Source organism: Homo sapiens, chromosome 6, assembly GCF_000001405.40.
Source record: "Homo sapiens chromosome 6, GRCh38.p14 Primary Assembly".
NCBI lineage: Eukaryota > Metazoa > Chordata > Mammalia > Primates > Hominidae > Homo > Homo sapiens.
In genome coordinates this window covers 27,260,381-27,274,962 of record NC_000006.12, presented here as the reverse complement: position 1 = coordinate 27,274,962, position 14,582 = coordinate 27,260,381, and the positions used below count along the sequence as shown (strand labels likewise).

Below are 14,582 nucleotides of genomic sequence, written 5' to 3'. Positions count from 1 at the left end.
ACTAGGTGTTAGGGCTGGGGACAGAAAGCTGTTCAGGGCAGAGGACCCAAGATTGGGAGCTCTGCCTAATGAAAGAAAAAAAAAATTAGAAGATTACTGGCTTTTTAAAAATTATTTAAATGAAGCTTACTTGATTTCAAATTGTCCTCCCAAATTGCTCCTGAAACCAACCTTCTTTCTCAAATTGGCAAGAGATACAAGATAGAGAGAACAAATTCTTAGGAGATTGTTATTATATGTCTCTGAAGACTTTTTTAGATTTAACTGACAGAAAAGATTGCCCTGAGAGGAAGCTATCGCTTTGAACATGGAACACAGACTTGGTGTGTTTTGTTTTGTTTTGGTTTGGTTTCTTGTTTTGTTTTTAGGAAAGGATGAGCTAGAAAGGAGTCGAATCTAGCCTCTTGTGATTAATAAACATGCACCTTGCATACTGCTTCCAACTTGAAAGGGCAATTCAATATTTCTTCTCTTTATCTTGTATCTCTTGTCAATTTGAGAAACAAGGTTGGTTTCAATAGAAATTTGGAAGGACAATTTGAAATCAAGTAAGCTTTATTTAAATAATTTTTAAGACGCCAATAATCTTCTAATTTCTCATTTTTTGTTTCCTTCGGCAGGACTCCCGATCTTGGGCCCTCTGCCCTGAACAGCTTTCTGTCCCCAGCCCTTACACCTGGAAGAAAAGAATAAGAACTTTACCTGAGGAGATGTAGAAATTTGGGTGATTCGGGGATGGAGTTAGGTTTCAGATAGATTAAGAAATGATGGCAGGGAATTTGTACCATCTGAGAGCACTGTTAATCACCCTCAGCTCTTCGCTGGCTAAAAACCGACGAGTTGCATTGTTAATTATCCTTAGCTCTTTGGTGGCTGAAAACCGACGAGTTTCTCTAGAACTACCGAGAAAAAGTACTGAGGAAAATATGTGGCCGATATGGGGATCGAACCCACGACCTTGGCGTTATTAGCACCACGCTCTAACCAACTGAACTAACCAGCCAACATTTTGGGTCTCTTCCCCCACACCACTCCCCCTCCCCATTAATCTAGACCCTCATCCTTTTTTGTGGTGAAAGCATTAAATTCAGCAATATAATTCCTGTTTGTCTCACAAGGAGAAACAATTTCTTAGTTACTTTAGACAATTCAATATCATATTACCTCTGATCATTCTGGGTAGTCTTTTCTGTCCTGTATAGGTTCCATACCTGCACATACTCATGAATATTAAGCTGAATACTTCAGAAGTTCTTTCTGGAGTTATCTCTTATTACAGCTCTCTTCTTTCTGGTATGCTATCATATTCACTCTAGCTGCCCCAGTCTCCCAGTCTATCAACTCCTCATCAACTCTGGGAGTCCACCAGGCTCTGCTTGGGTTCTGCCTTTCTGCATTGGGGCCTGGAAATTCAAGGCCTTAGTTAGGGGCTAATCCTACTGTTCACCTCCCCCTCTCTCCAATCATTCATTTTTTCCCCTGTGATTAGGGGTTACTATTCTTCCTTACCAAATACTGTATGTCTTGAAAAGTGTCATTTCATCTTTTTTGTTAGGTTTTGGTTCTTTACAGCAGGAATGTAAATCTGATCCCTGTTATTCCAACTTGACTGGAATCATCTCCCAGTTATTTGGAGGATGAAGAGCTATTTGGAGGAGCTATTTTCTGCTATGGGTTGCAGGCTTTTGGCACCAGAGAGGACCCTGTTATTATATAAGTGCAGCGGCCTGTCTTCCAGGGCTGTCCGGAGATCTTGGAGCCTCAGGGTTCTTGGGGCAAGCAGATGTTGAGCTGTGTCTCCAGGCTCCGACTGGGACAACATGTCTGAAGAGTTCAGGCTACAAGCCCCAGGGTGGCTAAATTGCCTGCTCTTCTTTTGGGTTTGCCCTGGAATGCTCTGTTTGACTGATTGGAGTGGGCACAGAGGTAGAGAGAGAGCTTGGGGGAGGGCAGGTTCTGGGACTAGGGGTCTGGAGGGTCAAATGTAACTAAAATGGGCATTCGGATCTCTGCTGGACATGAACTGGTACGTGGCATCCACGCACTTTTTCTTTATTTGTGCCCTGTAGCCACCAGTAGATATCCTTCACCTGAGGAAATTGGAACACCTTCGCCTCGGGGCTCTATGGGCATCTTCTGGTAAGCGAATCTGGGTGGTCCTCCCAGCTTCTGTACCTAGGAGTCCCAAGGGTGATTGCCATCTGGCACAGCCTAGGGGATTGCGAATGGATGAATGGGACCCGCCCAGAACCTGAGTTCCCCACAGCAAGTCCGCTCAGTCCCTGTCTTAAGCCATCCCTGTCCTTCCCCACAACAGAGGGTACGGAGACCAGTGATCTGTGTGAACTCGCTTGTGGACTAGATGATTTTTGATAAGTTGTTCGCTGATTACCTTTAAATTACCTTTCTTGTAAAAGTTACATTCTACCTCTATCGGTGGTGGTGTTAGAAAGAGTTGCTTGTGTACATCTTTAAAAGCTGTTTTGTTTGAAATTCTCAGGAGATTGAGTATCCTAGTTGCTTTTATTATGGCATAAATATTTAGCCACTAATTCAATTATATCTTATGTTATTTATACTAAAATTATAAAATCCTAGTAACCCTACAATTGTATCGAGATAAGAAGGCTTTTGTTCACCATTTCAAACAGTTAACGTTCTAATTTTAAAGTGTATTTGGAGAAATTGAATTTAGCATTTTTATTATATTCTCTGAGAACTTCTTTAGTTTCACTGAGAATCATTTCATGTATCTGATTTTGTAAATCAGTTACCCTTTTAAAAAATAACAATTTTTCACTGTATTTGTCTTTTTCGTTATTTTCTCTATGAACTAGCTAATACGTCTTATTTATTGGAAGTAATATAAAGTTTCCTTTTAGGTATAAATCCATATTCCAAGCACACTTGCATTTTTTTCAGTGAAAATTTTAAAAAGAGAGAACAGAAATAAATCTATATAAGAAATATGTGGGCCGGGAGCGGTGGCTCACGCCCGTAATCCCAGCACGTTGAGAGGCCGAGGCGGGCGGATCACGAGGTCAGAGGTTGAGACCAGCCTGACCAACATGGTGAAACCCCGTCTCTACTAAAAATACAAAAATTAGCGGGCCGTGGTGGCGTGCGGCTGTAGTCCCAGCTACTCGGAAGGCTGAGGCAGGAGAATTGCTTGAACCCGGGAGGCGGAGGTTGCAGTGAGATAGGCCACTCCACTTTCCACTCCACCACTCCAGCCTGGGCGACAGAGCAAGACTCCGTCTCAAAAAAAAAAAAAAAAAAGAAAGAAAGAAAGAAAGAGAGAGAGAGAGAGAGAGAGAGAGAGAGAAAGAAAGAAAGAAAGAAAGAAAGAAAGAAAGAAAGAGAAAGAAAGAAAGAAAGAAAAATATGTGAGTGGATTTAGAGAAATTATATTCTGTAAATCAGACAGTGGTCAACTTACAACTATTTTCCCAGGTGGTTGAGACAAAAACACTTAGATTCCACCTCTACCAAACAACTTGATTAATGCAAAAGAAAAGGAGAATGCCAACACAGGAACTCTGCCCAGAAACTAAATCAGCAGAGACGTCAGGTTAACAAACTGTTGACAGTTACCCACCTCCAAAAAAGAACTTCTCATTGTTATAAAGGTGCTTAAAATCTAAACATGAACCCTGTGCCTAGCCTACAATTTTTTCAAGAAACTGCAAAGAACCCTACACTAGTTATTAATATCAAGTTTCCACCCAAAATGGCCCAAGAATTTGTTTGAAATACTTAACATGTGAACTGAAATAAACTTGGCAAACTACAATTATGATGATTTTTGTTTTTTTTTTTTTTTTTTTTTTTTTTTTGAGACAGAGTCTCGCTCTGCCGCCCAGGCTGGAGTGCAGTGGCACGATCTCGGCTCACTGCAATCTCCGCCTCCCGGGTTCACGCCATTCTCCTGCCTCAGCCTCCCGAGTAGCTGGGACTACGGGTGCCCACCACTAAGCCCGGCTAATTTTCTTCTATTTTTTAGTAGAGACAGGGTTTCACCGTGTTAGCCAGGATGGTCTCAATCTCCTGACCTTGTGATCCGCCCACCTCGGCCTCCCAAAGTGCTAGGATTACAGGCGTGAGCCACCGCGCCCGGCCATGATGAAGTTTTATACCAAGAATTCAATGAGCCTACGCCTAAAGTTTCACCATTGTAATTTCCCAGGATGTCTTTCCTATATGGTATAGGAAAGACATCGAAAGATATCCTGGGAAATTACAATGGTAGTACTTTATATGACATATATGATAGACATATATGTCTATCATATATAGACTATATATATGATAGTCTATATAGGCTATATATGATATATCTCATATATATCATATATATCTCATATATGATATATATCATATATATCTCATATATGATATATATCATATATATCATATATATCTCATACATGATATATATCATATATATCATATATATCTCATACATGATATATATCATATATATCATATATATCTCATATATATCATATATATCTCATATTTGGTATATATCATATATAGTCATACATAGGCTATAAATATGATAGACATATATATCTATATATATCTATATTGTAAGTATAACACTGCCCACAAACCTTTGGATCATGATTGTGTAAGGGAGATGCTACACTTAACTTTAAGGCAGAAGAAATTAGCAGCAACTAGGACTCATATGTGACAACTTGTATCATAAGCACAATACATGGAATATATTCATGAGAGGCATCTGAAGTAATATGCTACACTCTGCAACAATTACCTAAGTTTCCCACATGGTTTTAAGACTTTTGTGCCTCGATTCTGTTAAAAATATCAACTAGTATAAACACTAAATCATATCCATTGGTTTTTTGTTTTTTGTTTCTTTTTGAGATGGAGTTTCCCTCTTGTCACCCAGGCTGAAGTGCAATGGCACCATCTCTGCTCACTGCAAACACCGCCTCCTAGTTTCAAGCGTTTCTCCTGCATCAGCCTCCTGAGTAGCTGGGATTACAGTCACCCACCACCAGGCCCAGCTAATTTTTATGTTTTTATTAGAGCCTGGGTTTCACCATGTTGGCCAGGCTGGTCTTGAACTCCTGACCTGAGGTGATCTGCCCGCCTCTGCCTCCCAAGTGCTGGGATTACAGGCATGAGCCATGGCTCCCAACCCACATACCCATTGTTTTTGCATAAACAAGTTAGAGGGCTGTTCTCTGAAATTCAATAGATATAGTTAATTAATACTACTACTGTGTTTTTAAGTGCTTAGGTTTCATGAGTGGACTGCAGGGCTATTTCAACTGCAACTAAATCAAATATGCTTTCATAAAATTGTCATTTAAAAAGACTTCAGAAACTAAGCAGGGGGAGAGGACCATTGGAAAGAGAAAAGGGTACTATGAATTGGAGGTTGTGGGGAGCAGAGGAGAAAACTGTAGGAGGGGAAAGTATAGCCAGCAATATTCGTTTAGTGATGCTCCAGAAACACATGTCTCTACTGAGATTTATCTTGATTGGAGCTTCTTATAAAGAGGCTGATTGTCAAGATTCTTGATGGAAGGTTTTTTTTTGTTTTTGTTTTTGTTCTTGTTTTGCTTCTTGATGGAAGTTTCTTATAAAACAGACTGATCACCAAGATTCTTAATTCAGGTTTCAAGCAATGACAAAATTGAAAACTTCAGCAAGAGAGATTTGAGAAGTGGAAGACAGGCAGTGAATTTTCCAATATTATGCTTGCATTTCAAATTCCTGTTTCAGACTTTTCAAGTAAGCATGCACATTCCCAAAGCCATTGTATTTGGCTAAATATTCAAGGACCCCAGTTTCCCACAGTCTATCTCGCTGCGAGCGGAAACTGCAGTTGCACGGCCTCGACAAGGCGGACAATGCCAGTTCGCATCCAGCAGAGTATTCCTGACCTCTTCACCACAAGGGTTTCTAAGGTCGGGGCCGCAGAACAGGCCTTGAAAGCCCCAACAGTCTGGGTTTCTGCAGTTTGTTTGATAACAATAGTTTTCTGGCGGCATTGATGACAAATAGAACCCAGCGAACGGTTATATATCTTCTCTTGAGAGTTGCTGCAGATGTTCTCCAAACCTTCCTCTGTAATTTCTTCCGGTGGCCGAATTATATGTGGAAGGATCATGGGTGATCTGGCGGGACGATTTCTGAGCATCTCAACTTCGTTCATGTAGCCGTCCACAATCTTCCTCTTTCTCACCAACATGTACTTAGCCTCTGTCTTTTCTTCCTTCTCTTCCGTAGGTAGAGCGCCAAGGGACCCGAGGATCCTGACCTTGACCTCTAAGAGGCCGAGCTCTCTCCATTCAGAATGTCTCCTTGAAGAAACATCCAGGAATGTTTACCTTGGGGTCTCCTTGATTGTGAGTTGGGGCCTGGCGGGGAATGTCTTCCGGGGAACAAACCAGAGAAGCTTCTAATACTGACATGCGTTTTACAAGCATTGCTTTGTTTTGCTTTATATTTCAAGCCCTTTCCTCAAACAAAACAAAACAAAACAAAACAAATTCATGGCACTTTCATCTTCTGAATCGGAATTGGAACCAGTCATAGAATTCCTTGAGGGTTTGGGGTACTCTGCTTTTTTATTGGCTGCTCCCCTGGTGTTTCGCCCTGGAAACTTCATCGCCTGCCTGAGAAGTCCAGAGTGTCTGCACTGGCTGCTGGTCCAGCAGCCTTCCTGGACTGACTGAAGCCTCGTGTTTGCAAAATTATCAGAAGCAAAGCTGTCATAATTGTCATGAGAGGATGACGAGGTTTCCATGGGAATCAACTTCACATATCGAATTTAAGATCGTCTTTACTCTGAGATCCTTTTGCGGCACGCGGAGAGCAGCCTTGCTGGCAGCGGAACTCTTGGTCTGCGCTTGGAGCCGGGAGAGCACGGTAGCGGCGCGCGTAGCGGTCACACAACAGGAGGAGCGGGAGGCGTGTGAAACTTCTTTATGAGAGAGAGAAAGTAGGAACCACCTGAATGCCCAACAAATGAGGTCTAGTTAAATAAATTATGCTACGCTATAGAATCAAATAGCTAAGATAAGGCAGACCTTTAGGTATAAGTGTGTTTGAAATGTGTCCAAGACATATTAAGTTTAAGGAACACATAACATCATGTCTATTGGGCTTTATTTATGCAAAAATATAATTACAAATATGTAGATAATTTCACATAGATGTAGATAAGGGTTGAAAGGATATAATCCAAACTTAATAAAATTATCTCTGTATGGTAGTGGAGTGGGTTCAGAGAGGCTCCAAAGATTATTTCCTATAAGAAACCATTTCAGCCTGGGTGACAGAGATCCTGTCTCAAAATATAAAATAATAAAATAAAATAAAATAAAACCAAAGAAAGGAGGAAAGAAAAGAAGGAAACCATTAAGATATCCATCATTTTTAAAAGAATGATTAAAGAAAGATCAGCGGCCGGGTGCGGTGGCTGATGCCTGTAATCCCAGCACTTTGGGAGGCCGAGGCGCGCGGATCACCTTGAGGTCAGGAGTTCGAGACCAGCCTGGCCAACATGGAGAAACCCCGTCCCTACTAAAAATACAAAAGATAGCCGGGTGTGGTGGTGGGCACCTGTAATCCCAGCTACTCAGGGGGCTGAGGTATGAGAATAGCTTGAACCCAGGAGGCAGAGGTTGCGGTGAGCCGAGATTGGGCCACTGCACTCCAGCCTGGGGAATAGAGCAAGACTCTGTCTCCAAAAATAAATAAATAAATAAATAAATAAATAAATAAATAAATAAAGATCAGTAAATGAGGATTTGAGCCTGGAGGCTGAAATATAGGAGAAGGGGGTTGGAAGAGCTCAGAGTGCTGGTCTATGAGTTCTCAGAAGGAATGTGGACCTCACACCCAGACCACAGGCCAAGTGCAGTGCAAAAAGAGAGGGTAGAAAATGAGAGACATATGGAGACAGCTTTAAGCATTTTTCTATCCATAACTAAAGTGATGATGTGTTATAAATACAGAGGTAACCCTTGGGTGTTAGCCAGGGACCATCAAACACCTGAGTTTGAGAGGCTACTGACAACTCCACCTATTACTTGCTGTAGGTACCTGAGTCAGTCTCTAATAAGGTGTTACACTTTTATCATTTTTAAAAATGTGGCTAATACATATGTCATAGGTCTCTGGTGTGTAATTATTTTATTATGTAAGCAACCATAATATAAAATTTACCATCTTAGCCATTTTTAAGTGCTCAGTTCTGTGGCATTAAGTACATTTACATTGTTGTACAACCATTATCACCATTTGTCTCCAGAACTTTTCCATCTTTTCCAAGTGAAACTGTACTTATTAAACACTAACTCCACATCCTTGCCTCTTTCTAGTCCCCTGGAAACCACCATTCCACTTTATCTCTCTATAAATTGTACTACTTTGGTACGTTATATAAATGGAATATAAAATATTCATCTTTTTGTGATTGGTTTATTTCACTTAGCATAATGTCTTCAAGGTTCATTCATGTTTTAGCATGTGTCAGAATTTCCTTTTTTTTTTTTTCTTGAGACTGAGTTTTGCTCTTGTTGCCCAGGCTGGAGTGCAATGCAATGGTGTTATCTTGGCTCACTGCAACCTCCGCCTCCTGGGTCCAAGCGATTCTCCTGCTTCAGCCTCCGGCTGGGATTACAGGCATGAGCCACCACACCCCGCTAATTTTGTATTTTTAGTAGAGACGGGGTTTCGCCATGTTGGTGAGGCTGGTCTTGAACTCCTGACCTCAGGTGATCCACCCACCTGGGCCTCCCACAATGCTGGGATTATAGGCATGAGCCACTGTGCCCAGCCAGAATTTCCTTTCAAGGCTGAATAATATTCCATTGTGTGTATACCACATTTTGTTTATCCATTAATCTGTTGATGGATATTTGGCTATTGTGAATAACACTGCTATGAATCTGAGCCCGTGTTTTAATTTATTTTGGATATATATGCAAAAATGGAATTGCTGGATCATATGGTAATTCTACATTTAATAGTTTGAGGATTGGCAGGGTGCAGTGGCTCATGCCTGTAATCCCAGCACTTTGGGAGGCCAAGGTGGGCAGATTGCCTGAGCTCAGGAGTTTGCGACCAGCCTGGGCAACACAATGAAACCTGGTCTCTACTAAAATACGAAAAAAATTAGCCAGGTATGGCGGCGTGCGCCTGTAGTCCCAGCTACTCAGGAGGCTGAGGCAGGAGAATTGCTTCAACTCAGGAGGCGGAGGTTGCAGTGAGCTGAGATCGCGCCTTGCACTCCAGCCTGGGGGACAGAGCAAGACTCTGTCAAAAAAAAAAAAAGAAAAGAAAATTTTGAGGAATCTTACTGTTTTCCACAGTGGCTGCTCTGCTTTTCATTTCCACCAGCAATACATAAAGTTCCTTACCAATAAATCCTTACCAATTTATTTTCTGGTTTTTGATAATAGCCATCCTAACTGGCCTGCAAATTAAAGTATAATTAGGAAAGTCATATAGATTAATGGAATAAAATAGGGACTCCAAAAATAGATGTACATGTATAATAAATTTACTTTCAACAAAAGTGCCTATGTACTTTATGAGGAAAGGATAGTCTTTTCAAAAATGGTGCAGAAACAAGGAGATAGCCATATGGAAAAAAATTAACTTTGATCCTTATTTTAGAATACATAAAAAAATTAACTGAAAATAGATCATAGGCCTAAACAAAAGTGCTAATTTATAAATCTCTGAGAAGGAAATATAGGAGAAAATCATGATTATGAAATAGGCAAAGATGTCATAGGATATCTTTGCATAAACATTAAGTCTGACAATAACAAATGCTGAGGAGGTTGTACAACTGGAACTCTCATATAATGCTTTTTGGAATGTAAAGTGAACCACCACTTTGGAAAACACTGGTAGCTTCTTATAAAGTTAAACACCCACTTACTAAATGACCAGCAATTCCATTCCTAGGTATTTCCTGGAAAAGAAGTGAAAACATATGCAATGGTTAATTTTTCGTGTCAACATGGCTAGCTCATAGTATTCAGATATTTGATCGAACACTAGTTTAGACGTTGATGTGAAGGTACTTCTGGATGAGATTAACATTTAATTCAGTACACTTTGAGTAAAGCAGATTGCTTCCTATCAGTTGAAAAATACTTAAGAGAAAAAAGACTAACTTCTCTCCCTAGGAAGAGGGACTTTTGCCAGCAGACAGCCTTTGAGTTTTAGCTGCCACATTAACTTTTTCCTGGGTTTCCAGCCTGCTGGCATACCGTGCAGAATCTGAACTGGCCAGACTCTACAATCATGTAAGTCCATTCCTTAAAATCACTGTCTACACACACACACGCACACACACACACACACACACACACACACTATTGGTTTTCTGTTTCTGAAGAACTCTGGCTTATATATGTCTACACAAAGACTTGTTACACAAATTTGCACAGCAGCCCTATTTATAATAGCTAGAATGTGAAAATAATAAAAATGTTCACCCACACATGAATGGAAAAACAAATTGTGGCATGTCTGTACAAATAGAATACATTTTACCAATAAAGTGCTAATAAATGGAATAAATTACTGATATGTGCAACAACATGAATGAATCTCAAAAATGTTCTGAGCAAAAACCAGGAACTAGAGTACATAGCATATAATTTAATCCATTTAGATTAAATTCCAGAAAAGGCAAAACCATCATGATGGAAAGGGCCTATAGTTGACTGGAAATTGTGTGGTCGGAGTGTGACTGACTGGGAAAGGGCATGCATTAGTTTCCTATTACTGCTGTGAAAAATTACCACAAACTTAATAGCTTAAAACAACACAAATTTATTATCTCACAGCTCTGGATGTCAGGGGTCTAGAGTGAGTCAGCAGGGCTATCTTCCTTCTGTAAGCTCTAGAGGAGAATCTGTTTCCTTGCCTTCGCCAGCTAGAAGAGGCTGCTGGCATTACTTGGCTCATCGCCCTGCAGCACTCCAACTTTTTTTCTTTTTTTAAGACGGCGTCTCACTCTGTCGCCCAAGCTGGAGTGCAGTGGCACAATCTCTGCTCATTGCGACCTCCGCCTCCCGGGTTCAAGCAATTCTCCTGACTCAGCCTCCTGAGTAGCGAGGATTACAGGAGCATTTAGTCAGGATTACTGGCTAATTTTTGTATTTTTAGTAGAGATGAGGTTTCACCATGTTGGTGGTGCTGGTCTCAAACTCCTGAGCTCAGGCAATCTGCCCACCTCAGCCTCCCAAAGTGCTGGGATTATAGGCATGAGCCACCGCGCCCGGCCTCATCATTCCAACTTTTGCTTCCACTGTCACATCTCCTTCTCTGACAATGATCCCTCTTAAAAGGATCCTTGTGATTACAACGCCCAATCCAGGTAATTGTGGATAATCACCTCATTTCATAATCCTTAATTTAATCACAGCTGCAAAGTTCCTTTTGCTGTGAAAGATAACATATTCACAGGTTTCACTATCACAGGCCACAAGGGAACTTTTTAGGATCATGGAAATGTTCTCTACTTTGATTGTGGTAGTTGTTACATGTATGTATAAATATGCCAAAACATCAAATTGTACACGTTATCATATATAAATCATCCCATAATACAGTTTTTTTTAAACTAAAAATCATAATCTTGCAAAACTGTTTTGGATTCTGTTTTTTCCACATAACAATATCTCATCAGCAACTACCAGACATAGAATAACAACTAATTATTGCATTCTAAAGAGTGGAGAAATCAGTAAATATTTGCTAAATTAATACATATTCATGTACGATTTTATGCTGTTAGGCAGAAAATGTGTTGTCCTCCTTTGCAGCAGAAAACTATAGCTGTCATCATCTCTCCGACTTTGAAGTTTCTCAAAGTTTCCTTCTTGTATGCATTCCCTCCTTCAATGATGCAAACAGAACATTTCAGGTTCAACTTCTGCTTAATATGCCAACTCTTTTGAAAATGAGCTCTGATTTTGCCAACTGTAAAGTGTTATTAGCTAGATTTTTAAATACTGATAAAATAGTGATTCCAAGTTACAATGTGAAGTGATGAAGGCAAATTGCAACACGATGTGTTCTTTTATAAAAAGAGATGGTCACAGTAACTCAACGCCTGTAATCCCAGCATTTTGGGAGGCCAAGGTGGGTGGATCACTTGAGGCCAGGAGTTCAAGACCAGCTTAGCCAACATGGTGAAACCCTGTCTCTACTAAAAATACAAAAAATTAGCTAGACATGGTGGCAGATACCTGTAGTCCCAGCTACTCGGGAGGCTGAGGCACAAGAATCGCTTGAACCTAGGAGGCAGAGGTTGCAGTGAGCCGAGACGGTGCCACTGCACACCAGTCTGGGCCACAGAGCCAGACTCTGTCTAAATAGATAAATAAATAGAAAACAAGAGAGAAAACAATAATTTGTATAAATATTGGAAAGGATACATAAGCAACTATGCATAGAGTTTACCTATGGACATTGGAAATGATTTCTGGGTGGATGAAATATAAGAAGAGACTTTTTACTGTATCTTTCTATGCTTTTTAACTTTGCAATGTGAGTATATTTCTTTTCTTTACTTTTTGAGACAGAATCTCGCTCTGTCGCCCAGGCTGAAGTGCAGTGTCGTGATCTCGGTTCACTGCAACCTCCGCCTCCCAGGTTCAAGCGATTCTCGTGCCCCAGCCTCCCGCGTAGTTGGGACTACAGGTGTGTGCCACCACACCCAGCTAATTTTTATATCTTTAGTAGAGGCGGGGTTTCGCCATGTTGGCCAGGCTGGTCTCGAACTCCTGACCTCAAGTGATCCACTTGTCTCGGCTTCCCAAAGTGCTGGGATTACAGGCGTGAGCCACTGTGCCCACCGTATTTCTTACCCCAAGATTAAACTTTAATTAGACGTTTACAAAATAATGTCTTTTACATGTCATTTCAGTTTAAAATGAAGTTTTTGGTTTCTTTTGTTTTTTTTTCCTAGTGTGTTGATGTTAATGAAAATTGTTCACATATGTCATTTAAAAATCCTATTTCATGTGATCCGGTGAAAACCCAAGTGTGGAAGTGATTGGAAGTGCAGATGGCTTTACAATTTCTTCTCAGATGGAGACAATTCACATAGGCCAATTTTCTATGTATGAAGATGGAAATAAAAGCAAAGACCTAAACTGTGAGGGAACAGCCATCGGATTCTACAGATTTATTGGGGACGTTGTTAAATCTTGGAGAGGACTTGCGAGACCACAAAGTGTTCTTAGGCAGGGACAAACGGGAATCTATGACCGAATTCTAACCAGTTGAGCTAACCAGCCACAGCAAATAGAATCTTTTTTTGTCTTTCACAAGTTTAATGTGAAACGATGTTTCAGAAAGTTTTGTCTAAAACAAAACTGGAAATTGTTTAACGCTAGTTCCCCTTCCCTTAGCACACACGCCTTACCTTACTCAATTTTACTTAAAAACAAAAATGAAGGCCTCCGTCTTAGCTCTCACATGTTACCTCTTCTTTTTTTTTTTTTTTTTTTTTTTCGCTCTTATCAGCTAGGCTGGAGTGCAGTGGCACGATGTTGGCTTTCTGCAACCTCTGCGCGCCGCCCCCCCCCCACTCCCCCCCGCGGGTTCAAGCGATTCTCCTGTCTCAGCCTCCCGAGTAGCTGGGATTACAGGCGCTCGCAACCACGCCCGGCTAATTTTTGTATTTCTAGTAGAGACGGAGATTTTACCATGTTAGCTAGGCTGGTCTCGAACTCCTGAACTGAAGTGATCCGCCCACCTCGGTCTCCCAAAGGGCTGGGATTACGGGCGTGAGCCACCGCCCTCGCCCACATTTCTTCTTTTGAAAGACTGTGTTTCCAGTTCAGTAGTGGCGATATAGAGCTTACTTTCGGAGAAACTGGAAGCAGAATTCACAGGAGATGTGATCAACAAAAGTGGTAAAGAACTAATTCTCCTCATGTGGCCGGTAAGAGGATCAAACCCACGACCTTTAGCGTAATTAACACAACACTCTAAGCAACCGAGCTAACCGGCCGGCGGGACGAGAATTGTGGCCCCTTCGCTATATGCAAAGGATAACAAAATGATTTTTTTCTCTGTTCTCTTTAACTCTTTTTTTCCTTGCAGGGAAAAAAAATCCCCAAACGTGAAACAACCAAAAACAATTTTTAAAAATCTTCACATTCTTCCTATTGCATTCTCTTCATCAAGAAGATAGAAAAAAGAAAAGAGAAAAGGTCAACATTTGGCCCAGAGAACCCTGCTTCTTACGTGGAAACCTAGTCTTTCTTAAACAGCCGATTCTTGGCTGGGTGCGGTGGCTCACTTGGTCTCAAACAACAACAACTTGCTGATTCTGACTCGAAAAAATTCAAGTTCCCGCGCAGGTTCCTTCTCCCATCCGGGAAAGGCCCGGGAGTAAACGCCAAGCTGCTCCAACTCTGAGACTGCAGCGAATGGATCAGGGAAGCAACCACGAAGCCACCGCAGAGTTCACAGGACCCGGCTCCCTCGCGCGGGGTGCGGATTCCTTTTCACTCTTGGAGACGCTCGCCCGGCAGGTGGGCTCTTCCCTGAGGCCTCGG

General features: G+C 41.2%; 1 non-coding gene and 1 pseudogene across 1 annotated transcript; both read right to left on the bottom strand.

Annotated features, from left to right (window-relative positions):
• Nucleotides 1–929: 929 nt before the first annotated feature.
• TRI-AAT9-1 (tRNA-Ile (anticodon AAT) 9-1) lies at nucleotides 930–1,003 on the bottom strand. Its single transcript has one exon. It is a non-coding gene; the product is annotated as a tRNA-Ile (tRNA).
• CDCA7P1 (CDCA7 pseudogene 1) lies at nucleotides 5,601–6,951 on the bottom strand (annotated as a pseudogene).